Source organism: Homo sapiens, chromosome 2 (assembly GCF_000001405.40).
Source record: "Homo sapiens chromosome 2, GRCh38.p14 Primary Assembly".
Taxonomy (NCBI): domain Eukaryota; kingdom Metazoa; phylum Chordata; class Mammalia; order Primates; family Hominidae; genus Homo; species Homo sapiens.
Window position 1 is genome coordinate 61,012,304 of NC_000002.12, and position 26,862 is coordinate 61,039,165.

At 41.8% G+C, this 26,862-nt stretch overlaps 2 protein-coding genes across 22 annotated transcripts in view, besides 2 other annotated features; one reads left to right on the forward strand and one right to left on the reverse strand.

Moving 5' to 3' along the window:
* PUS10 (pseudouridine synthase 10) overlaps positions 1–5,956 on the reverse strand; it is a 78,037-nt gene extending 72,081 nt beyond the window's left edge. For 2 of the 21 annotated variants that reach the window (XM_047443481.1, XM_024452720.2), the window contains exons 1-2: positions 5,705–5,952; positions 825–948 (exon numbers count right to left, since the gene is read on the reverse strand). The gene's annotated coding sequence lies outside the window, so the exon portion shown is untranslated. The other 19 variants (XM_017003428.3, NM_144709.4, XM_047443478.1 and 16 more) reach the window with 13 other exon arrangements.
* Positions 128–297: an enhancer, noted in NCBI's record as "active region_15827". NCBI's record gives its function as "activates an Ori minimal core promoter by ATAC-STARR-seq in GM12878 lymphoblastoid cells {active_cell/tissue: GM12878}" and the evidence as "EXISTENCE:reporter gene assay evidence [ECO:0000049][PMID:35858748]".
* Positions 5,417–26,862, forward strand: part of PEX13 (peroxisomal biogenesis factor 13) — a 34,271-nt gene continuing 12,825 nt past the window's right edge. Inside the window, exons 1-2 of the mRNA NM_002618.4 lie at positions 5,417–5,548; positions 19,116–19,810. Of these exons, the coding sequence (NP_002609.1) occupies positions 5,457–5,548; positions 19,116–19,810 (787 nt within the window). The 5' untranslated portion in view covers positions 5,417–5,456. The remainder of the gene's footprint in view (positions 5,549–19,115; positions 19,811–26,862) is intronic.
* Positions 5,824–5,873: an enhancer, noted in NCBI's record as "active region_15828". NCBI's record gives its function as "activates an Ori minimal core promoter by ATAC-STARR-seq in GM12878 lymphoblastoid cells {active_cell/tissue: GM12878}" and the evidence as "EXISTENCE:reporter gene assay evidence [ECO:0000049][PMID:35858748]".

Consider the following 26,862-nt stretch of genomic DNA (forward strand, 5'->3'; position numbering starts at 1 on the left):
AAGAAATTAAAAATGAGTTTGCTGGTAGTGGGGCTCAGAAAGCCATACCCCAAAATGAAGGCCTCAGCAGCAGCCTCAGAAGCAAAAGTTTTTCTCTGACCTTCTGCCCTCCTGTCTGTCTCATTCTTCCCCAGACTAGCCATAGAAAAACTACAGTCTCTCTTCCTCAAAGTGAGTCATAGAAACCAGAACCCCCTTTCCCCAAAGCCAGCCATAAAATCTAAAAATATTACTCAAATTTGGTCAGGCACAGTGACTCATGCCTGTAATCCCAGCATTTTGGGAGGCCGAGGGTGGATCACCTGGGGTCAGGAGTTTGAGACCAGCCTAGCTAACATGGTGAAACCTTGTCTCTACTAAAAATACAAAAAAAAAAAAAAATTTGCCGGGCATGGTGGCAAGCAACTGTAATCCCGGCTACTTGGGAGGCTGAGGCAGGAGAATCACTTGAACCTGGGAGGTGGAGGTTGCAGTGAGCCGAGATTGCGCCATTGCACTCCAGCCTGGGCAACAAGGGAGAAACTCCGTCTCAAAAAAAAAAAAAAAAAAAAAAAAAAAAAAAAAATATATATATATATATATATACACACACACACATATGCCTATTACTCAAATTTTCCCTCCACCTTTCTGAGTAAAAACTGACCATGAAAAACTAGGCAAGGTGCAGTGGCTCACATCTATAGTCTCACCACTTTGTGGTTGTGGGGCCGAAGTAGGAGGTTCACTTGAGGCCAGGAGTTTGAGATCAGCCTGGGCAACAACCCACAAGACCCTGTCTCTACAAAAAAATTGAAAAATTAGCTGGGCATGGTGGTACACACCTGTATTCCCAGCTACTCAGAAGACCGAGGTGGGAGGATCGCTTGAACCCAAGAGGTAGAGGTTGTAGTGAATCAAGATCATGCCACTGTACTCCAACCTGGGTGACAGAGCAAGACCTTGTCTCTAAAAAGAAACAGAAAAAAAAAAAAAAAAGATGAAGAAATGATCTAACCTCTCTTGTCTGACTGTAGGTCATAAGACTCCCCATTCCATGGCAGGTCCTGCCCCACACCCAGAAGGAAGGAATGCATGCTCTGAGAGGCCAAGAACCTAGACAGGCTTGCTGGGTTTCCCCACTGAGTTGATTACCTTTTTGTTCAATCATATTTCTATGTGCCATCCATACTTTGATGAACCTAAGCATAAAAATGGACAATTTCCCCTGTTATCATTATGTCTTCATTCTGAAGGCTCCTGTGTATACACATTACATAAACGTGTATGCCTTTTCTCCCATTAATCAATTTGCCTCATGTCAGTGATTTTCAGAGAACCTCTAGGTGGCTAAGGGCCTTGGCATTCAGACTAGACAAAAAAATCTGATCAGTCTACCTTATATAATACTGGACTACCCTTAATGATAGCTTAGCGGCCAACTATTTAAAACAAATTGAGGCCGGGTGCAGTGGCTCACATCTGTAATCCCAGCACTTTGGGAGGCTGAGGTGGGCAGATCACTTGAGGTCAGGAGTTCAAGACCAGCCTGACCAACATGGTGAAACCTTGTCTCTACTAAAAATACAAAAATTAGTTGGGTGTGGTGGCTGGCGCCTGCACTCCAGCCTGGGCAACAGAGTGAGATGCTGTCTCAAAAATACAAACAAACAACAACAACAACAACAACAACAAAGTTGATCAGCAGGTCTAAAGACATCAACTTTACTTTGATTATATGACTAAATGGCAACCACCTGTTAACAAAATAAAAATCTGCCCCTTTCATGAGTAAAACCTCCAACAAAAGGTCAGGCGCAGTGGCTCACACCTGTAATCCCAGCACTTTGGGAAGCCGAGGCGGGCGGATCACCTGACAACAGGAGTTTGAGACCAGCCTGGCCAACACGGTAAAACCCTATCTCTACTAAAAATACAAAAAACTATTAGCCAGGTGTGTTGGCGTGTGCCTATAATCCCAGCCACTCAGGAGGCTGAGACAAGAGAATCACTTGAACCCCAGGAGGCGGAGGGTGCAGTGAGCCGAGATCATGCCACTTCACTCCAGCCTGGGCAATAAGAGCGAAATTCCATCTCAAACAAACAAGCAAACAAACAAACAAAAAAACCTTCAACAAAAACAAATTAAGTACAAAATATTTGAGAGCAACTGTTTGCTTAAATTGCCAATTTTTGCAATTTAAATAAACTCACAAAAAAATACTATATAGAGAATGAAGGCAAATCTGTCTCCTGTTACCGGGAAGGAGGGGGTACTAAAAATTCAAACAACCTAATTTGTTCAGCAAAACAAGATCTTCTAATTAGTGAAACAGTTCATATTACCTTAAAATGATCAACTGCCCATATTTTAGAAAATAATCATTGCATGGCAATCTTATGGCATGCTGTAACTGTGGTCATAAAGATGAACGACAGTGGCATCTTTTAATTTGTGCAGTTTCATAATTCAAATGAACTTGCTTAAAATTTGTGGAAGGGTGAAGCTCCTCCCAACAGCTTAGTATAAAGACGTGATTCTTCTAGTCTGCGTTTTCCAAACCTCTAAAACTTCCTACTTACTTGCAAGTTGCTAAATGTTTGGGGCCACTTACCAAGATTCTTGCACAAAATAATGAGGAAGACAGGCATATAGTTACATAGAACTCTTCACCATAAAAATCAGTTCAGCAGCCAGGACTACTAAAAACAGATTGCCTCTGGCTGAATTCTAATTCAGGGGAATATGTGAGTCAGCAGAGGGAAGAAAATCAGGCTTGTATGGACACACCATACAAGCTGACAAGGTGACAACTTTGAAACACCAGAATTGAGAAACGCATAGTTAGGGTTGCCTAAGTAAATTTGGGCTCCAGGGTATTTTCAAGAAAGAAAACAGAATATGTGGAAAACAGCCTCTAAATAATGAAGATCTGGCCAGGCCCAGTGGCTCACGCCTGTAATCCCAGCACTTTGGGAGGCCGAGGCAGGCATTATCACTTGAGGTCTGGAGTTCAAGACCAGCCTGGCCAACATGGTAAAACTCCATCTCTACTAAAATACAAAAATTAGCCACGTGTGGAGGTGTGCACCTGTAATCCCTGCTACTCGGGAGGTTGAGGCAGGAGAATCACTTGAACCCAGTAGGTGGAGGTTGCAGTAAGCCCAGGACTTTGGGAGGCTGAGGCAGGAGGATCATGAGGTCAGGAGATCGAGACCATCCTGGCTAACACGATGAAATCCCATCTCTACTAAAAATACAAAAAATTAGCCATGCGTGGTGGCACGCACCTGTAGTCCCAGCTACTCAGGAGGCTGAGGCAGGAGAATCGCCCGAACCCAGGAGGCAGAGGTTGCAGAGAGCCAAAATCGTGCCACTGTACTCCAGTCTGGGCAACAGAGCGAGACTCCATCTCAATAAATAAATAAATAAGATCTGTGTGGTCAAGGTCAAGTCATTACTATTTACTAGTGATCTGGATCCCTTTTCCCAGCCCATTTAATCTACTTTGATGCAGAGAAGAGATCGGATGCTGTGAGGGGCGAATATAAGCATTTACAGTGCATCTCTGACTACATACACAGAGAAACTGTTTCTGTTTCACCTGTTACTCTAAGTTATTTTTTCTCCATTAGTTAAGGTCAAGAATTTTACTTAATTCAGAAGTAACATTTAACTCAAAAAGAGACAGAAGAAATACACCCTCTTCCAATAAATCAATAAGCACTTTAAAAGGACACTTAATGAAGATTTCCCTCGATACTTAAATAGCTATATTAAAATTTATTTTATTTTCCATGGCTAGAAGACAATGTTTATTTTTCCAGTAAGTTCACAAGAACAAAGGTATCATGCAAAGTAAATAAATGACACATTACAATCTCCTGGCTCTGAGAAGTTCCCAAACCTGATTGATGAGAATTACAAAACTTCCAGTCCTGAGTAATTTGAAGAGGTCTAAAAATAGACCCCAAAAAAGACCTCTTTTGAATGTGTGTTAATAAACGAGCTATGAATTTACAAACCTCTCAACATCATTTTCACCTACCAACAATTTATCAACTTCTCAAGAATGTTAACATTAAAAGGAGAAAATACGTTACGTCTTAAATTTGGTTTTTTCATCGTGAGATAATTAAATGCCAGGATTTCATAAGATATTAGAAATCGGTTGTCCATATTAGATTTATTATGTTTGAAAGCAAGCCCTGAGAAAGGCATTCCACAATGTAAGTTTTCCAGTGTTGGTTACCCTCAAGATGTTTGCTTTTCGTTTATGTGTTTGTTTTATAGAAATAACTCTGTAACAAGTTGCTACAAAGCCGCCTTTCATGTGTCAGGCTCCCTAGGAGGACTGAATCCCTCCTCCCCAAATCAAGGATAACTAGCCCAGTCTCTGGCTTACTGGAGGAGAGGAAGGACTTTATTTTCACCTCTTGGACGATTACAAAAACCAGTCATCGAAAACGAGAAAAGGGGCAGGGTATAAGAAAAACTAGCGAAATGACCAGACTGAGTCTCATATCCTAAGATCTTTTAAAACTCATTTCCCTACCGAAGGGTGTCATTCGTAACGCGGCGTGGGGCTGGGGGTGTGGATTTACGGAGAAAGAGGTGATCACACTTCACTGGGCTTCTGAAACATTCAGCTCTGGAATCTACTGTGGACTCTTGAAAAGTTCATCCCGAGATCTAACCTCAAGCCTCAGTTTTCGCCAAGCAAGCCCTTCCCCCTTCGGTCAGGTGCAACAAACTTCCCACTCACCCCTCCTTTGCTAACAAAGCCGCTCCAGCAGGAGAGAAACGAACTCTCTCCCGCCACACCTCTTTTGCACCCAGTCTGCACTCCTTCACCTCTTACCTACCCGCCTCACCTTCTCCCCAGACGCCGGAGCCTGAGATTTAACCCCTTCCGGCCCTCGAAGGGAAGAGGGAAGACTAAAGACAACGCACCTATTGCGTCTAGCAATTCTGTTCCCCGAGGAAACGTGCGTTTTAGAACAAAAGTACCAGCCCGCTCTCGCTAGGACTAAGTGAGCTTCTCCCTTCTTGTTTGTAGAGGAAATCCGAAAAACTGCCTGGTTTGCCACCTCACCCTACCTCCCCCACGAGCGAAGGAGTGCGTGCGGCTTTACTCCCAGCCCGACTGGTCCACTCCCAGAAAAGCCTCGGTGGGACTCCGACGTCTAGGGAGTTGTAGCCGCTACCAGAAATATCGATGAGCCTTTACCCTGAGGTTTAGAAAGGCAGCTCTTTCTGGGGCAAATACAAAGAGCGTGTTTCTTCCTACAAATTAGTGGCATCCTCCCGCTGTATGGATTCAGCTGGCAAAGTAACTCAAGCCTTGTCCTGACTGCAAGGGTGGGCGGGGTGGACGGCTCGGTGTTCTGCCCGTTGTGTCTTACGCTCCAGGTGCTGGTCTACGCGGGCCTGGACAGTCAGGGGTAGGAGCGGGAGCCGAGAGGAGGCGGAGGAGATGGCGTCCCAGCCGCCACCTCCCCCCAAACCCTGGGAGACCCGCCGAATTCCGGGAGCCGGACCGGGACCAGGACCGGGCCCCACTTTCCAGTGAGTGTGGGATTCTTCAGGCTGTGAGTTTAGTGGGCCCGAGCGGGGACTTGGCAGGAGGCGGTTGTAGCGGTTGTTAGTGGAGGTATTCCCTTCCCCCCTTTAACCAATACCCAACCTTGGGGATAGGGGCCGAGGTGGAGCTGGGGCGCTTACCAGTGGGGACTTTAGTGTCTCACAGCTGTTTCTGACCCGGCAGCTCTAATCAGCAACGTTTTTTTCGGGAGCTCCTGGGCGTCTCTCTGGGTCTCTGTGCTTGAAAGAAAGGGGGGCGGCTTCCTACCTACCGCTTCTGTTTTCACTTTGACAGAATGGCTTCTCTATCTTTAAAGCGTAGACTTTGGTCTGTAGCAGTTGAGAGCGGCATTTGTCCAGCCACGGCATCGACAGGGAGCAAAGTCTCTCCTTAAAGGTGTTAACCTCTCGAGAAGTTGCTGAAAGCCGGAAAGGTTTTACGCAACAGGAACTCAAGCCCCGTACACTTTGCATTCTTTTCCAGCATAACTCAGCCAGTGTTTCGGATCGAGATTGGAGAAGCAACTTTAAAGCAGGAGTTCTAGATCTGAGGCCTATGGATGGACTTTGTGTGCAAAATAGTGTATTTTTCTGAGGCCTGTATTTTTTTTTTGTTTGGTTTTTAATCAGTATCAGTTGGTTTCTAGGACTTTAAAAAGGCTAAAACATGCAGAGTTGGGAGTGTTTCGTGGCCTCGTGTGGCTTTTGTTTGGTAGTGCTGGACATCTTAATTCAGATAGGTGTGATTCAAATGTCAAATCACCTACTATTGTAGGTTTTCCTAAGCGTAAAAACCCCAACATATTGGAATGTATTTCTGCTGTATTCTGAAATCTTTTATTTAAACACTAAAATGCTTTAACACAGTAACGACTTAGTTTAATAAGGATATATACATAACAAGTAATAAGTTTGATTAGGCTGGTAAGCCACGGTGACATTATCTGCTACCTTTTTTTTGAGTGGGTTCTTTTTTCCCCATTTAGGCTGCTTGTCGAATGAGAGAGGTTTTATTTTTTGCATCTGTTAAAGTTCTTTTTATGTAAAATTAACCATTTTCCCACTTTATCGTGAAATATTTTAAACACAGAGACCAGTAGAGAGTAAGATAATACCTATATATTCACTACTCAACTTTAAACAGTGTTAACATTTGCCAGACTTATGTCGAATTTTTCAAAATAAAAGACGGCTAAACTCTCCCATTCTTCTTTATAGTGGTGACTATTGTCCTTATTTGGTGTTTCGCATACCCAGTAATGTTTTTATATTTTAGTACTTAGGTTTGTGCTATTTATATGCATTTTATATCTAAAACTTAACAATGTAACAATAATATATATTTTATATCTAATTACATGTTACTATTTATATATTATTTTTTGTATCTGTTTTTGTTTTTTCTGTTGCCCAATTTTCTATTGGCTTTATCTTTGCTTACCAATTTGTAAGAGTATTGTTAAACTAATCCTTTTTTGTTACTACATTTTGCTAATATTTTTCACTGTGTGGCTTCTCCTCTTTATATTTATGTTCAATTTTTTGTACAGATGTTTTTGATTTTAATACAGCCAAAATTGTCATATTTTATTGTTTATGCTTTTTGTCTTGGTTAAGAAATCCTGTCTACCTAGATCAGGACAGTTTTTCTGTATGTTTTCTTTTAAATCTTCCGGTTTTTTCATTTGCATTTAATCCACATGGAACTGACTTTGTATAAAAATCTAATTTTTTTTTCCATATAGGTAACTAATTGTCGCAGCACCATTTATTGAGTAGTCTATTCTTAGTTTTTAATGCCATCTATGTCATATCAAGGTTTCCTAAATATGTAGTTCTGTTTTGGGCATTTTCTGACTTTCTACTAGCACCACACTATCTTAATTACAGAATTTTATAAGTCTTGATATGTAGTATGTCAAGAGTTTCCACACATTGCTGTTCTTTGTAATTGCGCTCTTTACACTTAGTCCTTTATAAAAAGACTTACTGGGATTTTTATTGGAACTGAGCTGAATTTATGGATCAAGTAAGTTTTTATTCCATGAATATTGTATAAGCTACAATTGGTGGGAATTTATCTTTTTGCCTTAAATATCTTATAATTATCCACTTTGGGAGACTGGGCGGGCAGATCACGAGGTCAGGAGATCGAGACCATCCTGGCTAACTCGGAGAAACCCCGTCTCTACTAAAAATACAAAAAAACATTAGCTGGGTGCGGTGGCGGGCACCTGTAGTCCCAGCTAATCAGGAGGCTGAGGCAGGAGAATGGCGTGAACCCACGAGGCGGAGCTTGCAGTGAGCCAAGATCACGCCACTGCACTGCAGCCTGGGCAACAGAGGGAGACTCCATCTCAAACAACAACAACAACAAAAAACTTATAATTACCTCCATGAAATTTTTTTCCATATTTTATTTTTTATTCCTAGATTATTTTTGCTGTAGTAGTTGCAAATGGGCTTTCTTTTTTCCTTTTACATTTTCCAGTTGGTTATTAACTGGTATGGCAGAATGCTATTGATTTTTTTTAATGTAAATATTATGTACAGCATAATCTCAAACTCTTAATTAGTTCTGATGGTTTGGTTGAAATTCTCTTTAGTTTTGTGTAGCCAGTTCTGTCATTTACAGATAAGCTAGCATCCTTGTATTGGTCCTGACTTCCACTGGAGTGCTTCTGAAGTTTTACTGTTAAATGTGAAGTTTGCTTTTTGTTTTTGATAGATATCTTGTCAAAATTCTCTCTCTCTACCTTGCTCAGATTTATTTTATTTTATTTTTATTTCATTTTTATTTTTGTTTGAGATGGAGTCTCACTGTGTCTCCCAGGCTGGAGTGCAGAGACGCAATCTTGGCTCATGGCAACCTCTACCTCCTGGGTTCAAGTGATTCTCCTGCCTCAGTCTCCCGGACAGTTGAGACTACAGGCGCGTGCCACTCCGCCCAGCTAATTTTTGTATTTTTAATAGAGATGGGGTTTCACTATGTTGGCCAGGCTGGTCTTGAACTCCTGACCTCAGGTGATCTGCCCACCTAGGCCTCCCAAAGTGCTGAGATTACAGGTGTGAGTCACTATGCCCAGCCCTTACCTTGCTCAGATTTTTATTGTGAAGAAATATTAAATTTTATGAATGGCTTTTCTGCATCTGTTGAGACCATTGTATGTATTTTCGCTTTAGTATGAAAATGTGGGAATAGGAACAGCTCTGGTCTGCAGCTCCCAGCGTGATTGACGCACAGGACGGGTGATTTCTGTGTTTCCAACTGAGGTACCTGGTTCATCTCACTGGGACTGGTTGAACACTGGTCGCACCCCATGGAGGGTGAGCCAAATCGAGGCGGGGCATCACCTCACCCAGGAAGCGCAAGGGATTGGGGGATTTCCCTTTCCTAACCAAGGGATGCCGTGACAGACTATACCTGGAAAAATGGGACACTTCTGCCCAAATAGTGGGCTTTTTCCACAGTCTTAGCAACAAGCAGACCAGGAGATTCTCTCCCATGCCTGGCTTGACGGATCCTATACCCATGGAGCCTTGCTCAGTGCTAGCACAGCAGTCTGAGATCAATCTGCGAGGCAGCAGCCTGGCAGGGGGAGGGGAATCCACCATTGCTGAGGCTTGAGTAGGTAAACAGAGCGCCCAGGAAGCTTGAACTGGGAGGAGCCCACTGCAGCTCAGCAAGGCCTACTGCCTCCATAGACTTCAGCTCTGTGGGCAGGGCATAGCTGAGCAAAAGGCAGCAGAAACTTCTGTGGACTTAAACGTCCCTGTCTGATAGCTCTGAAGAGAGCAGTGGTTCTCCCAGCATGGTGTTTGAGCTCTGAGAACGGACAGACGGCCTCCTCAAGTGGGTCCCTGACCCCCGTGTAGCCTGACTGGGAAACACCTCCCAGTAGGGGCTGACAGACACCTCAAACAGGCAGGTGTCCCTCTGGGACAAAGCTTCCAGAGGAAGGATCAGGCAGCAATATTTGCTGTTCTGTAGCCTCTGCTGGTGATACCCAGGCAAACAGGGTCTGCAGTGGACCTCCAGCAAACTCCAACAGACCTGCAGCTGAGGGACGTGACCATTAGAAGGAAAACTAGTAGACAGAAAGGAATAGCTTCAACATCAACAAAAAGGACATCCACACCAAAACCCCATTTGTAGGTTACCAACATCAAAGACCAAAGGTAGATAAAACCACAAAGATGGGGAGAAACCAGAGCAGAAAAGCTGAAAATTCTAAAAATCAGAGCACCTCATCTCCTCCAAAGGATCGCAGCTCCTTGCCAGCAACGGAACAAAGCTGGACAGAGAATGACTTTGACGAGTTGACAGAAGTAGGCTTCAGAAGGTCGGCAATAACAAACTTCTCCGAGCTAAAGGAGCATGTTCTAACCCGTCGCAAAGAAGCTAAAAACCTTGAAAAAAGGTTAGATGAATGGCTTACTAGAATAAACAGTGTAGAGAAGACCTTAAATGACCTGATGGAGCTGAAAACCATGGCACAAGAACTTCGTGATGCACGCACAAGCTTCAATAGCTGATTCAATCAAGTGGAAAAAAGGATATCAGTAATTGAAGATCAAATTGATGAAATAAAGTGAGAAGACAAGATTAGAGAAAATGTTTATTGTATCAACCTTCTATTGTTGAACCATCCTTGCATTTCTCAATGAACTTTGATTAGTCTTGATTTTTTTCTGATATGCAATTCCAAATTCTATTCTAAACCAGTTGGAGTGGTTCACATTTGTAATCCTAGCATTTTGGAAGGCCAGGGCAGGAGGATTGCTTGAGGCCAGAAGTTCAAGACTAGTCTGAGCAACATAACAAGACTCTGTCTATAAAAAATTTTAAAATTGGCCAGGTGTAGTGGTGTGTGCCTGTAGTCCTAGCCACTAGGGAGGCTGAGGTGGGAGGATCCCTTTGAGTCCAGGAGTTCAAGGCTGCAGTGAGCTGTCATCATACCACTGCACTCCAGCCTGGGTGACATAGCAAGACCCTGTCTCCAAAAAGAAAAAGAACTCTATTCTAATATTGTGAGACTGTTGCATACATGTTCCTAGGTGAAATTGAATTTTTTTTCTTTGTACTATTCTGGTTTTGTATCAAAGTTTTATAGCTAGATAGGTTTTTCTGTTGAGTCTAATTTCCTTTTTTTTTTCAGACAGTGTCTCACTCTGCCACCCGGGCTGGAGTGCAGTGGTGCAGTCATGGCTCACTGCAGCTTCTACATCCTGGGATTAAGTGGTCCTCCTGCCTCAGCCTCCTGAGTAGCTGGGACTACAGGTGCATGCCACCATGCCCAACTAATTTTTATATTTTTAGTAGAGATGGAGTTTTGCCTTGTTTCCCAGGCTGGTCTCGAACTCCTGGGCTCAAGCAATCCTCTCACCTCAGCCTCCCAAAATGCTGGGATTACAGGCATGAGCCATCTCACCTGGCCTAATTCATTTCTTTATAGGCAGACTGCCTTCTCCTTAGTAGCCTTGATACGTTTGGTCCTCTAGCTTTATTATATTGTAACCAGGTAGGAATATACAGACACACACACACACACACACACACACATATTTTTTTTTTCTTCCTGCTTAGTATCCACAGTATTCAGTCTGAGGATTCATTTCTTTTTTTAATTCAGGAAAATGCTCATCAATTATACCTTTAAATATTATTTTAAGTTTTGTTTGAACACTAGTCTTTACTGTCTCTTCTTCTGTCAAGCATTATATCGGGACTAGTGTCTGCTATAAGTAACATTATCTGACTCACTGTGATTTGGACTATTAAGACATTTATTGTTTAGTTAGCAAGAAGTCTAGAGATCTGCCTTCTCAACATTGTCATCAAGGGACCTAAGTTTTTCCTGACTTCTTTTTTTTTTTTTTTTGTCAGCTCTCTTGACTTTTTGGCCATCTCTGTCTTTTGTTTTGTTTGTTTGTTTGTTTGTTTGTTTTGAAATAAGTTTCACTCTGTCACCAGGCTGGAGTGTGGTGACGCAATCACACCTCACTGCAGCTTCCATCTCCCAGGGCTCAAGCAGTCCTCCCACCTCAGCCTCCCGAGTGGCTGGGACCACAGGTAAGTGCCACAACGCCCAGCTAATTTTTGTATTTTTTGTAGAGATGGGTTTTTACCATGTTGCCAAGGCCGATCTTAAATTCCTGGGCTCAAGTGATCTTCCCACCTAGGTCTCCCAAAGTGCTGGGATTACAGGCATGAGCCACCACTCCCTCACCATCTCTGTCTTATTCTTTGCTCCTTTAAAAAGAATCTTACCCCACCCCTGATCTGGTTGCTTTCAATATTTTTTCTCTGTTTTAGTTTTCAGCAGTTTGCTTTGTTAGGCCTCAGTGTGGTCTTCTTTGTATTATCCTGGGTGGAATTCACAGGGATACTTGAATCTGACTTTGATGCCTCTTATTAATTCCAGAAAACTTTAAGCCATTATTTCTTTAAATATGGTTTCTATCTATTGTCACTTTACTCCTTTAACTCAACTTGCATATATACCCCATATGTCACTATACTCCCTGTATCTTACTCTCTTTTCTGTATTTATCCTTCTGTTTCTTATGCTTCATTCTGGGTATTTTCTTCCCATCTCTTTCCTAGTTCACTGATATTTTTCTTTCACTGTGTCTAATCTGGTATTAAACCAGTCATTGAGGCCGGGTGCAGTGGCTCATGCCTGTAATCCCAGCACTTTGGGAGGCCGAGGCGCGTGGATCACGAGGTCAGGAGATCGAGACCATCCTGGCTAACATGGTGAAGCCCCGTCTCTACTGAAAATACAAAAAATTAGCTGGGCGTGGTGGTGGGCGCCTGTAGTCCCAGCTACTCAGGAGGCTGAGGCCGGAGAATGGTATGAACCCAGGAGGCTGAGCTTGCAGTGAGCCGAGATCACGCCACTGCAGTCCAGCCTGGGCAACAGAGTGAGACTCCATCTAAGAACAAAAACAAAAACAAAAAAAACAGTCATTGAGTTCATAATTTCAGGTTTGGTTTGGTGTTGTTTTTAGTTGTAGAATCTTCATTTGGTCCTGCTTTATATTATAGTTCCTATTTTCTTTTGGAAAATCCCAATCTTGCCTTTTTTATTTGAATATATTCAACACAGTTGTTTAAAGTTTCTGCCTAATAAGTCTATAATAACTCTATTATCTAGATCCCCTTTGGAGCTCTTTGTATTATCTGAAGTTTCTTTTTTTGTTTGTTTGTTTTGTTTTTGAGACAGTCTCACTCTGTTGCCCAGGCTGGAGTGCAGTGGCGTGATCTCGGCTCATTGCAACCTCTGCCACCCAGGTTCAAGCAATTCTCCTGCCTGAGCCTCCCCCGTAGCTGGGATTACAGGCACCTGCCACTGCACCCAGCTAATTTTTTATAGTTTTTAATAGAGACGGGGTTTCACCATCTTGGCCAGGCTGGTCTTGAACTCCTGACCTCATGATCCACCCATAATTTTGTTATGTAAGCCCTATCATTATTATTATTATTATCATTATTATTATTATTATTAAGACAGAGTCTTGCTCTGTTGCCCAGGCTGGAGTGCAGTGGTACAATCTCGGCTCACTACAACCCCTGTCACCCAGGTTCGAGTGATTCTTGTGCTTCAGCCACCTGAGTAGCTGGGATTACAGGCATTCGCCACCACACCTGGCTAATTTTTGTATTTTTAGTAGAGACAGGGTTTCGCCATGCTGGACAGGCTGGTCTCAAACTCTTGGATTCAAGTGACCCACCTGCCTCAGCCTCCCAAAGTGCTGGGATTATAGGAGTGAGCCACCATGCCCAGCCAAGCCCGTTTATTTTTTAATGAGAGCTGCACATTGTATATAGACAGTTTAATGTGATTTGAGGCCTAAGGATATCTTTCTCTAAAGACTTTTCCTTTTGACCAGAATGTTAGGCCACTAACAATCTAGAATCACTTTAATCCAATAAAGGATTGAGCTGATTTAAAACTTGGTTTTCATTCCTGCCAGGTAGTCCATTTCCTGTTAACCTTTTCACCCTTTCTACTAGCATATTTCCCTTTTTAAGGTCCCAATCTGAAGTGTGAGGGTTCCCTATGGCTTTCCTCTTTAGGGTTCTGAACTCCAGTTTATGGCTCCTTAGCCCAGGGAGTCTTAAAATCTCTGCCCAGCTTCTCATCCTGTCAACCATCTCTTCTGGAATTGGCCCTGGTTTCTAGAGAAACGCCTGAAAAGATCTGGCTCTCTGGGTTTTTTTTTTCCTCCTTGATTTTGTCTCCAGAATTCTTCGGTGCCTCGTTCTCTAATGCTTTAAACAGAATTCCTTCCTATTTCCTTCCCTTCTAGTTCATTGGGAGGGTTAATCTAATTACCTCGACAACCATTACTTAAAATAGAATTCCCAAGTTCTGTATTTCCATTCTGCTCCTTAGTGTACAGCAGCTAATTTTCTTCTTGACCGGTAGTTGAAAAACGGTTCCAGTGGCTGTGGCCACCTTTTCTTTTTTCTTTTTTTTTTTTTTTTTTGAGACGGAGTCTCACTCTGTCGCCCAGGCCGGAGTGCAGTGGTGCTATCTCGGCTCACCTCAACCTCTGTCCGCTTCCCAGGTTCAAGCAATTCTCTGCCTCAGCCACCCGAGGAGCTGAGATTACAGGCGCCCACCACCACGCGTGGCTAATTTTTGTATTTTTAGTAGAGACAGTATTTCACCATCTTGGCCAGGCTGGTCTTGAACTCCTGACATTGTGATCCACCCACCTCAGCCTCCCAAAGTGCTGGGATTGCAGACATGAGCCACCACGCCTGGCCTGTGGCCACCTTTTCTAAGATTTCTAATGGAATTTTTAAAATATTTAAATGTTTTTATTTAATTTCAATTTTTATTTCACAGATATTATTTCATTTCTCTCTCTGATAATTTTTAACATATCTAAAATCATTCCTGAGCTGTTATATAAAATTAGTTTTTTTAAATTGGGTTTTATACTTGCTGATTTTTGTTGGCTTTGTTTCTTAGTGTTTTTATTTCTTCATGTGTGTGGCATTTTTGAGATGGTCATTTTGAGTAGTAATTTTGGAGTTCTGTTTTCTCTCCTTTCCCTCTTCCATGTTCCCCTCTCTCTATCTAATAGGTGTCCTGTTGCCTCTCCCTGTTCCCTCTACCTACCACTTAGGTAAGAATCAGGTGTAAAAACAGTGGGTCAGACTGGGCATGGTGGCTCACACCTGTAATCTTAGCTCTTTGGGAGGCCAAGGCAGGAGGATTGCTTGAGCCCAGGAGTTGGAAACCAGCCTCTCAAGATGTAGCGAGAACCCATTTCTACAAAAAATATCAAAAAGAAAAAAAAAAAAAAAGGCAGGCATGGTGGTGCACGCCTGTAGTCCCAGCTACTTGGGAAGCTGAGGTGGGAGGGATCGCTTGAGCCTAGGAGTTTGAGGTTGCAGTGAGCCGTGATTGCACCACTGAACTCCAGCTTGGGTGACAGAGTGAGACTCTGTCTCAAAAAAAAAAAAAACAAAACACACACACACACACAAAAACAGCGAGTTAGATTAAGGATATCACACATCAAGTCGGTCAGTTGTTTCATTTCCTGGGCTGGAGGCCTTATCACAGTCCTCTCCCTCTCTTAGTTCTGTAACTTTCTCAAAATATTAAACTGTCATCAGCAAATTTTATAATCTCTTTGTAGGAGTCAAGGTGGCACATCCTCATTCCCAGCCTCAAGCATTGAACTGGTTCCATTTTAATGGAGCACTTTTCGTTTTTGTTACTTCATTGAAGCCTGCATCTTGGCTGTCACTGCCTGATTACAGAACCAGAATTGAGTAGGCCCGTAGCTTCAGCCCTCCTTACCATTTTACATTTCTGTTTAGTTTCTCTTCCATAAGTCTGTCTTGTGTTAAATCTAGATAATGTCTGTTTGTTTGTCTCTCTGTTTTCTCTATTATTGCTTATACTTGGGAGCAGAACTGTTTCATTAAAGCCTGAATGCACTGCACTATCTGGCCGTTCACTGGCTCCTTTTAAGTTTTGTTCCATTTTTAAATATCAGATCCAATAAAAGAAAAAAAAATAGAGTTCTAGTAGCTTGTTTATAATATTACGATACAAGTCTAAATTAAAACTTTAGCCTGGATTAGAAAATTACCATTTTGCAGTTCCACATCTAATATTTGTTTCAGGCAAGGATGATGAATCGATGCTAAACTATCAAATGAACAGTTGCTGAGGAATAGAATATTTGTGGTACAAAACTGTCATCCCATAGATTATATACTAATTACAAAGGGAAAGATACATTTTAATGGAAAGATCTAATAGTCACCTCCTTAACCAACTAATCAAATTTAGCTTCACAAATGCGCCTCCTAAAGTAATACTGTGTGAAGTAAACAACATCACTTATGAATTATTCTTGCCAAAAAATATTGAACCTGATTGCAATCAAACCGTTAAATGCAATCTTAATTTAATAGGAGGCGAAATAAGAGTACAAGTTAAACAACACTTGGGGGAAACACAAATCTGGGGGTAGGACATTTCTTTCTTTTCTTTTTTTTTTTTTTTGAAACAGAGTCTCACTGTGTCACCCAGACTGGAGGGCAGTGGCATGATCTCAGCTCACTGCAACAGCCGCCTCTGGGGTTCAAGCGATTCTCCCTCAGCCTCCCGAGTAGCTGGGACTACAGGCACCCACCACCACGTCCGGCTAATTTTTGTATTTTTAGTAGAGACGGGGTTTCACCATGTTGGCCAGGCTGGTCTCGAACTCCTAACCTGAGGGGACCCGCCTGCCTCAGCCTCCCAAAGTGCTGGGATTACAGGCATGAGCCACCATGCCTGGGCTGGGGGTAGGACATTTCTAGAAAAAAACTGGGTTGACTCTTTAGAAGGTCAGGGATATTTGAAAAAATGGGATTGTTCTCATTTAGAAAAGAAAGGAAACAAACCAACCAAATGCAGTGTGTGAGCCTTAATTGAATTTTTGTTCAAAAAAATTTTTAAAGATATTTTTGACTCATGTAGCACAATAATTTAAAAAGCAGTGATAAAAAGGCTAAGCCAAGTACAATGGCTCATGCCTGTAATCCCAGCACTTTGAGAGGTAGAAGTGGAAGGATTGCTTGAACCCAGGTATTTGAGACCAGCCTGGGCAACAAAGTGGGACCCTCATCTCTACCAAAAAGTTAGCCGGGAGTGGTGGTCTCACCTACATAGGAAGCTGAGGCAGAAGGATTACTTGAGCTGTGTTTGCGCTTCTGCACTCCAACCTCAATGACAGAGGGAGACCCTGTCTCCAAAAAAAAAAAAAAAAGAGGGCGAACTTAAAAGTGGGCAAAGTATCTGAATACATATTTTTCCAAATAAGATTGTAAAACGACCAATAAGCACATGAAAATATGCTCAACATCATTAGCCGTCAAGAAAATGCAAATTAAAACCACAGTGAAATACCACCTCACGCCCACTAGGATAGCTATAATGAAAAATATAAGAGCAGATGTGGCCAAGGATGTGGAGAAATTGGAAATCCTCATACATTGGCGAGAATGTAAAATGGTACAGTTGCTTTGGAACACAATCTGGCAGTTCCTCAAAAGGCTAAATATAGAGTTTCCATATAACCCAGCAAACATGTCCGTACAAAAACTTGTACATAAATGGTCATTGCAGCATTATTTGTAATAGCCAAGAAGTAAAAACAGCCCCAATATACATAAGCTGATGTGTGAATAAATATAATTTGGCAATAAAAATTAATGAAATACAGTTGGCCTTCCACATCTGATCAACCAACTGTGGATCAAAAATATTCGGAAAATAGGCCAGACGTGTTGGCTAACACCTGTTATCCTGACATTTTGGGAGGCTGAGGTGGGAGGATCACTTGAGGCCAGGAGTTGGAGGCTGCGGTGAGCTATGATCATGCCACAACACTCTAGCCTGGACAATAGAGTGAGACCCTGTCTCTTAAAAAAAAAAAGTATTCAGAAAAAAAAAAACTGCATCTGTACTGAACATGTACAGACTTTATTCCTTGTCATTATTTCCTAAACACTACAGTATAAGTAATTACATACATTTACAGTGTATTAGATACTATAAGCTAGAGATGATTTTAAGTATACAGGAGGATGTGCATAGGTTATATGCAAATGCTATACTATTTTATATTAAGGACTTGAGCATTCATGGATTTTGGTATCTGAAGGAGATTTTGAAACCACTCCCCCACAGATACCAAGGGCTGCCTGTGCTGATACATGCTATAAAATGGATAAACCCTGGAAACATTATGCTAAGTGAAAGAAGCCAGTCACAAAATACTACGTATTGTATGAGTCCATTTACCATAGATCCTCATTATTTGTGGATTCTGTATTTTCAAATTGGTCTGCTCACTAAAATTTATTTGTAATCTGAAAATCAATATTCCTGGCACTATCACAGTCATTTGAGGACAAACGTACATCAGGTAAAAATCTGAGTTGTCCCTCAGCTGACAACTGAGGGACAACTGAGAGACAAAAAAGCAACACTCTGGTTTCTTATTTCAGCTCTCATGCTGTAAACAGTTGTCTTTATCAAAGTCTGTTTAGTGCCAGGTTTTTTCACATTTTTTTATGGTGATTTTGCTGTCTAAAATGGCCCCCAAGCATAGTGCTGAAGTGATCTCTAGTGTTCCTAAGCACAGGAATGCTGTAGTGTGCCTTACAGAGAAAATACAGGTGTTAGATAAGCTTCATTCAGGCATGGGCTATTGTGCTGTTGGCCATGAGTTGTTAATGAGTTAACAATATACCTGGAATAAAGTGACTTTAAACAGAAACATATAAAATAAGTATATGTATTGATTGGTTGATGAAAGAAGCAGTGATTTGGTATCTGCTGGTTCAGAGTTCACAGCAACTTTACAGGATATAACTATCTTAAATAACAAGAATTAACTATATATGAAATGTCCAGAATAGACAAACCGAGGGACAGAAGGTAGATTCATGGTTGCCAAAGATGGGTGGAGGGGTGGGCAGGAAATGGGGAATAGCTGCTAATGAATATGGGGTTTCTTTTTTGAGGTGATGAAAATCTTCTGAATTAGACATGGTGATAGTTACACACCTCTGTGAGTGTACTAAAACCTATTAAATTTTAAACTTTAAAGTGATGCCTGGGCACAGTGGCTCACACCTGTAATCCCAGCACTTTAGGAAACCAAGGCAGATGGATCGTTTGAGCCCAGGAGTTTGAGACCAGCCTGGGAAACATGGTGAAACCCCATCTCTACAAAAAATATAAAAAATTAGCCAGGTGTGGTGGCATGCACCTGTAGTCCCAACTGCTCAGGAGGCTGAGGTGGGAGGATCACTTGAGCCTGGGAGGTTGAGGCTACAGTGAGCTTTTGATTGTGCTACTACACTCCAGCTTGGGCAACAGAGTGAGACCCTGTCTCTAAATCAATTAATCAGTCTTCAGTAGAATTTGTCATAGCACCAGGTATATAGGAGATGTTTAATACTTACTTTGAATTGAATTTATTGTATGCTTAAATAACTGTTTTGAATCTTTTTTGGTTTTAGATCTGCTGATTTGGGTCCTACTTTAATGACAAGACCTGGACAACCAGCACTTACCAGAGTGCCCCCACCTATTCTTCCAAGGCCATCACAGCAGACAGGAAGTAGCAGTGTGAACACTTTTAGACCTGCTTACAGTTCATTTTCTTCTGGATATGGTGCCTATGGAAATTCATTTTATGGAGGCTATAGTCCTTATAGTTATGGATATAATGGGCTGGGCTACAACCGCCTCCGTGTAGATGATCTTCCACCCAGTAGATTTGTTCAGCAAGCTGAAGAAAGCAGCAGGGGTGCATTTCAGTCCATTGAAAGTATTGTGCATGCATTTGCCTCTGTCAGTATGATGATGGATGCTACCTTTTCAGCTGTCTATAACAGTTTCAGGGCTGTATTGGATGTAGCAAATCACTTTTCCCGATTGAAAATACACTTTACAAAAGTGTTTTCAGCTTTTGCATTGGTTAGGACTATACGGTATCTTTACAGACGGCTACAGCGGATGTTAGGTTTAAGAAGAGGCTCTGAGAATGAAGACCTCTGGGCAGAGAGTGAAGGAACTGTGGCATGCCTTGGTGCTGAGGACCGAGCAGCTACCTCAGCAAAATCTTGGCCAATATTCTTGTTCTTTGCTGTTATCCTTGGTGGTCCTTACCTCATTTGGAAACTATTGTCTACTCACAGTGATGAAGTAACAGGTAAGAGAACTGTAAGGGAACAGGTTCAGATACCATATAACAATCTCAAATTTCAAGAATAGATTTGTTAGTTTTCTTTATATTGATTTGTATTTACTGTTTCCAGTTATATTTTCAGTTAAGAGCTTCAAAACTGGCAGAGGAATATATAGCAAAAATAGGCTTGCTGATTAGTTTATTGTTCAGTTTAATAGTGCACATTACCTGTTTACAAGGTACTGAAATTGGTGCTGTGGAGGATACAAAGATACATAGGGCATAATTCCTATCTTTCTAAAATTTATTGGAAGGGAGGTGGTTTAAGACACATATACAGGTAATGAGGCAGAAAGTGTGATAAGAAATATAACAATTGGGGAGAGACATAAGGTTTCTTGAACCTTTTTTAATATGCAAGACACTGTGCTAGGTATTTTGTGTGTTTTATCTCATTTAATTATTTCAACAATCCAAAGAGATAGGAATTATCCTCATTTTGCAAGTGATAAAACTGAGATCCAGAGAACTCACTTACCTAGGGTCACATCTTTAATAAGGCAGAACTATAAACAAAACCAGGACTGGTTGAATGTTAAGCTGTATTCTCTCAACTAGTAGAGAGTATTAGCTCACTTTAGAAAAGAGAAGCTAACATTTTTTACTGTGGTATCCAGGAAGAAATGGCATCTAAGTTAGATTTTTGAAAGCTAGGCAACCTTTCAAAAGTTAGATAAAGAAACAAAAACTATCAAGCTGATAGACCAGCTTGAACAAAAGTATATAGGCAGAAAATATGAGATTTATTTGGTAGTTGTCCTATAGTATTGCATTGGATCGTAAGAAATAATGCTGAGAAATTAGGTTGAAAGCTAATAGTAGAAGCTCTTAATTGGCATTATGAGACTTAATCTTTACATAAGGAATGGATGGTTTTTTGGTAGTTTATGTTTGTTTTTGTTTTTAAGCAGACTGTGACATACATGTAAACGAAAAAGTCAGTCTGAAGGGTTTAAGATAAATCAGTAGAAGTCAGCACGTTGTAATTAGGTGGTAAAGTTCATAAAGGATTTGGGTTGTATTCACCTTTGTATTCCTACTGTCTAACCTGCTTGACACATAGAAGGTACTTAATAGATATTTATTAATTTGGGGGCATCAGTAATGATACTTTTGCATTAGACTGTTTGAGAGATAATGAAGACCCAAAATAGAGTGTGTGAGAAGCAGGATTCATATAATAGATTCAGAGGATGTAGTTACTGACTAAATGAGGTATATAAAGGCAAAGTAGAAATCAAAATGCCCTAGACCTTTAAATTTGGGTTATTAGAAGGATAATGTTTTATTAACTCAATAAATATTTGTTGGGTGCCAACTACATACCAAAGAATTCTCAGAGCTAGGGATATAGCAATGAATAAAATATATTCTAAAAATCTCTGCCTTTGTGGCAGTCTAATAGGGAGAAACAGTAAATAAATAAGTAAAATATATAGTAAGCCAGAAGGTACTGGTAAGTGCTATAGGGGAAAAAACAAAACTGGGAAGAATTTTGGGAGTGTCAGGAGGAGGAACAGGGGTTGCAGTGCTACATATAGTCAGGGAACGCCTCCCTGAAGGAGTTAAGGGAGTAAGTCCTACAGCTCTTTGAAGGAAGAGTGTTTTCAGTCATAGGGAACAGCAAAAATGTAGAGGTATGTAAGTGGCATATCATGGGAACGGGAAGGAGGCCAGTGTGATTGGAGCAAAGTGTTAGTGGCAGGAGATGAAGGGAGTAGATGGTATAAGTTGTAGACATGTGTAAGAACATTGGCCTTTATTCCAAAATGGGAAGCCACTGGAGATTTGTGAGCAAAGGAGTAATATGACCTGACTTAGGTGTTTTTTTTTGTTTTGTTTTTTGTTTTGTTTTTTTTCTTCGGGAGACAGAGTCTTGCTCTGTCACCCAGGCTGGAGTGCAGTGGCGCGATCTCAGCTTACTGCAACCTCCACCTCCTGGGTTAAAGCAATTCTCCTGCCTCAGCTTTCTGAGTAGCTGGGACTACAGGTGTAGGCCACCACACCCGGTTAATTTTTTGTATTTTAGTAGAGACGGGGTTTCACCGTGTTGCCCAGACTGGTCTCAAACTCCTGAGCTCAGGCAGTCTGCCCACCTCAGCCTCCCAAAGTGCTAGGATTACAGGCATGAGCCACCACACCCAGCCGACTTAGGTTTTAAAAAGAATACCTTTTTGCGGGCAGTCGCTTCCAAGATAGCCAAATAGGAACAGCTCCGGTCTGCAGCTCCCAGCAAGATCGACGCAGAAGGCGGGTGATATCTGCATCTCCAACTGAGGTACCTAGTTCATCTCACTGGGACTGGTTGGACAGTGGGTACAGCCCACAGAGGGCGAGCTGAAGCAGGGCAGGGCATCGCTTCACCCAGGAAGCACAAGGGGTCAGGGGATTTCCCTTTCCTAGCCAAGGGAAGCCATGAGTGACTGTACCTGGAGGAATGGTACACTCCTGCCCAAATACAGCGCTTTTCCTATGGTCCTCGCAACTGGCAGACCAGGAGATTCCCTCCTGTGCCTGGCTCGGCAGGTCCCATGCCCACGGAGCCTTGCTCACTACTAGTGCAGCAGTCTGAGATCAACCAGCAACGCTGCAGCTTGATGGGGCAGGGCCAGCATCTGCCATTGCTGAGGCTTGAGTAGCTCACAGTGTAAACAAAGTAGCCCAGAAGCTCGAACTGGGCGGAGCCCACCACAGCTCAGCAAGGACTATTGCCTCTCTAGATTCCACCTCTGTGGGCAGGGCATAGCTGAACAAAAGGCAGCAGACAGCTTCTGCAAACTTAAACGTCCCTGTCTGACAGCTCTGAAGAGAGCAGTGGTTCTCTGAGCACAGTGTGCGAGCTCCAAGAATGCAGACTGCTTCCTCAAGCAGGTCCCTGACCCCTGTGTAGCCTGACTGGGAGACACCTCACAGTAGGGGTCAACAGACACCTTCAACAGGCGGGTGCCCTTCTGGGACAAAGCTTGCAGAGGAAGGATCAGGCAGCAATATTTGCTGTTCTACAGCCTCTGCTGGTGATACCCAGGCAAACAGGGTCTGGAGTGGACCTCCAGCAAACTCCAACAGACCTGCAGCTGAGGGGCCTGACTGTTAGAAGGAAAACTAACAACAGAAAGGAATAGCATCAACATCAACAAAAAGGACATCCACACCAAAACCCCATTTGTAGGTTGCCAACATCAAAGACCAAAGGTAGATAAAACTACAAAGATGGGGAGAAACCAGAGCAGAAAACCTGAAAATTCCAAAAACCAGAGCGCCTCTTCTCCAAAGGATCGCAGCTGCTCGCCAGCAAGGGGACAAAGCTGGATGGAGAATGAGTTTGACAAGTTGACAGAAGTAGGCTTCCAAAGGTTGGTAATAACAAACGTCTCGGAACTAAAGGAGCATGTTCTAACCCATCGCAAGGAAGCTAAAAACCTTGAAAAAAGGTTAGATGAATGGCTAACTAGAATAAAGAGTGTACAGAAGACCTTAAATGACCTGATGGAGCTAAAAGCCACAGCACAAGAACTTCATGATGCACACACAAGCTTCAATAGCTGATTCAATGGCCAGGCATGGTGGCACACGCCTGTAATCCCAGCACTTTGTGAGGCCAAGGCGGGCGGATCACCTGAGGTCGAGAGTTCGAGACCAGCCTGACCAACATGGAGAAACCCCATCTCTACTAAAAATACAAAATTAGCCGGGCGTGTTGGCACATGCCTGTAATCCCAGCTACTAGGGAGGCTGAGGCAGGAGAATTGCTTGAACCCAGGAGGCGGAGGTTGCAGGGAGCCAAGATCACACCATTGCACTCCAGCCTGGGCAACAAGAGCGAAACTCCATCTTAAAAAAAAAAAAAAAAGCCGATTCAATCAAGTGGAAGAAAGGATATCAGTGATTGAAGATCAAATTAATGAAATAAAACAAGAATACAAGATTAGAGAAAAAAGAGTGAAAAGAAATGAACAAAGCCTCCAAGAAATACGGGACTATGTGAAAAGACCAAATCTACGTTTGATTGATGTACCGGAAAGTGATAGGGAGAATGAAACCAAGTTAGAAAACACTCCTCAGGATATTATCCAGGAGAACTTCCCTAACTAGCAAGGCAGGCCAACATTCAAATTCAGGAAATACAGAGAACACCAGGAAGATACTCCTCGAGAAGAGCAACCCTAAGACACATAATTGTCAGATTCACCAAGGTTGAAATGAAGGAAAAAATGTTAAGAGCAGCCAGAGAGAAAGGCCGGATTACCCACAAAGGGAAGCCCATCAGACTAACAGCAGCTCTCAGCAGAAACCCTACAAGCCAGAAGACAGTGGGAGCCAATATTCAACATTCTTAAAAGAATTTTCAACCCAGAATCTCATATCCAGCCAAACTAAGCTTCATAAGCGAAGGAGAAATAAATTCCTTTACAGACAAGCAAATGCTGAGAGATTTTTTCACCACCAGGCCTGCCTTACAAAAGCTTCTGAAGGAAGCACTAAACATGGAAAGGAACAACTGGTACCAGCCACTGCAAAAACATGCCAAATTGTAAAGACCATCAACGCTATGAAGAAACTGCATCAATTAACGGGCAAAATAACCAGTTAACATCATAATGAATGACAGGATCAGATTCACACATAACAATGTTAACCTTAAATGTAAATGGGCTAAATGCCCCAATTAAAAGACACAGACTGGCAAATTGGATAAAGAGTCAAGACCCATGGGTGTGCTGTATTCAGGAGACCCATCTCTTGTTCAAAGACACACATAGGCTCAAAATAAAGGGATGGAGGAAGATCTACCAAGCAAATGGAAAGCAAAAAAAAAAGCAGGAGTTGCAATCCTAGTCTCTGATAAAACAGACTTTAAACAAAGATCAAAAGAGACAAGGCCATTACATAATGGTAAAGGGATCAATTCAACAAGAAGAGCTAACTATCCTAAATATATATGCATCCAATACAGGAGCACCCAGATTCATAAAGTAAGACCTTAGAGACTTACAAAGAGACTTAGACTCGCACACAATCATAATGGGAGACTTTAACAGCCCACTGTCAATATTAGATCAATGAGACAAAAGGTTAACAAGGATATCCAGGACTTGAACTCACCTCTGGACCCAGCGGACCTAATAGACGTCTACAGAACTCTACACCCCAAATCAACAGAGTATACATTCTTCTCAGCACCACATCACACATATTCTAAAATTGACCACACAATTGGAAGTAAAACACTCCTCAGCAAATGTAAAAGAACAGAAATCACAACAAACTGTCTCTCAGACCACAGTGCAATCAAACTAGAACTCAGGATTAATAAACACTCAAAACCACACAACTACATAGAGACTGAACAACCTGTTACTGAATGACTACTGGGTAAATAACGAAATGAAGGCAGAAATATGTTCTTTCAAACCAAGGAAAACAAAGACAGAACATACCAGAATCTCTGGGACACATTTAAAGCAGTGTGTAAAGGAAAATTTATAGCACTAAATGCCCACAAGAAGCAGGAAAGATCTAAAATCAACACCCTAACATCACAATTAAAAGAACTAGAGAAGCAAGAGCAAACAAATTCAAAAGCTAGCAGAAGGCAAGACATAACTAAGATCAGAGCAAAACTGAAGGAGATAGAGACATAAAAAACCCTTCAAAAAATCAGTGAATCCAGGAGCTGGTTTTTTGAAAAGATCAACAAAATAGACTGCTAGCAAGACTAATAAAGAAAAGAGAGAAGAATCAAATAGATGTAATAAAAAATGATAAAAGGGGTATCACCACCCATCCCACAGAAATACAAACTACCATCAGAGAATACTATAAACACCTCTACATAAGTAAACTAGAAAATCTAGAAGAAATGGGTAAATTCCTGGACACATACACCCTCCCAAGACTAAACCAAGAAGAAGTTGAATCTCTGAATAGACCAATAACAGGTTCTGAAATTGAAGCAGTAATTAATAACCTACCAACCAAAAAAAGTCCAGGACCAGACAGATTCACAGCCAAATTCTGCCAGAGGTAGAAAGAGGAGCTGGTATCATTCCTTCTGAAACTATTCCAATTAATAGAAAAAGAGGGAATCCTCCCTAACTCATTTTATGAGGCCAGCATCATCCTGATACCAGAGCCTGGCAGAGAAACACACACACAAAAGAATTGTAGGCCAGTATCCCTGATGAACATCAATGTAAAAATCCTCAATAAAATATTGGCCAACCGAATCCAGCAACACATCAAAAAGCTTATCCACCATGATCAAGTTGGCTTCATCCTTGAGATGCAAGGCTGGTTCAACATTCGCAAATCAATAAATGTAATCCATCACATAAACAGAACCAAAGACAAAAACCAAATGATTATCTCAATAGATGTAGAAAAGGCCTTCAACAAAATTCATCAGTCCTTCATGCTAAAAGCTCTCAATAAACTAGGTATTGATGGAATGTATCTCAAAATAATAAAAGGTATTTATGACAAATCCACACCTAATATCATACTGAATGGGCAAAAACTGGAAGCATTCCCTTTGAAAACCAGCACAAGACAAGGATGCCCTCTGTCACCACTCCTATTCAACATGGTGTTAGAAGTTCTGGCTAGGGCAGTCAGGCAAGAGAAAGAAATAAAGGGTATTCAATTAGGAAAAGAGGAACTCAAATTGTCTCCGTTTGCAGATGACATGGTTGTATATTTAGAAAACCCCATTGTGTCAGCCCAAAATCTCCTTAAGCTGATAAGCAACCTCAGCAAAGTATCAGGATACAAAATCAGTGTGCAAAAATCACAAGCATTCCTATACACCAGTAATAGCCAAATCATGAGTGAACTCCCATTCACAATTACTACAAAGAGAATAAAATACCTAGGAATCCAACTTACAAGGGATGTGAAGGACCTCTTCAAGGAGAACTACAAACCACTGCTCAATGAAATAAAAAATGACACAAACAAATGGAAGAACATTCCATGCCCATGGATAGGAAGAATCAATATCATGAAAATGGCAGTAC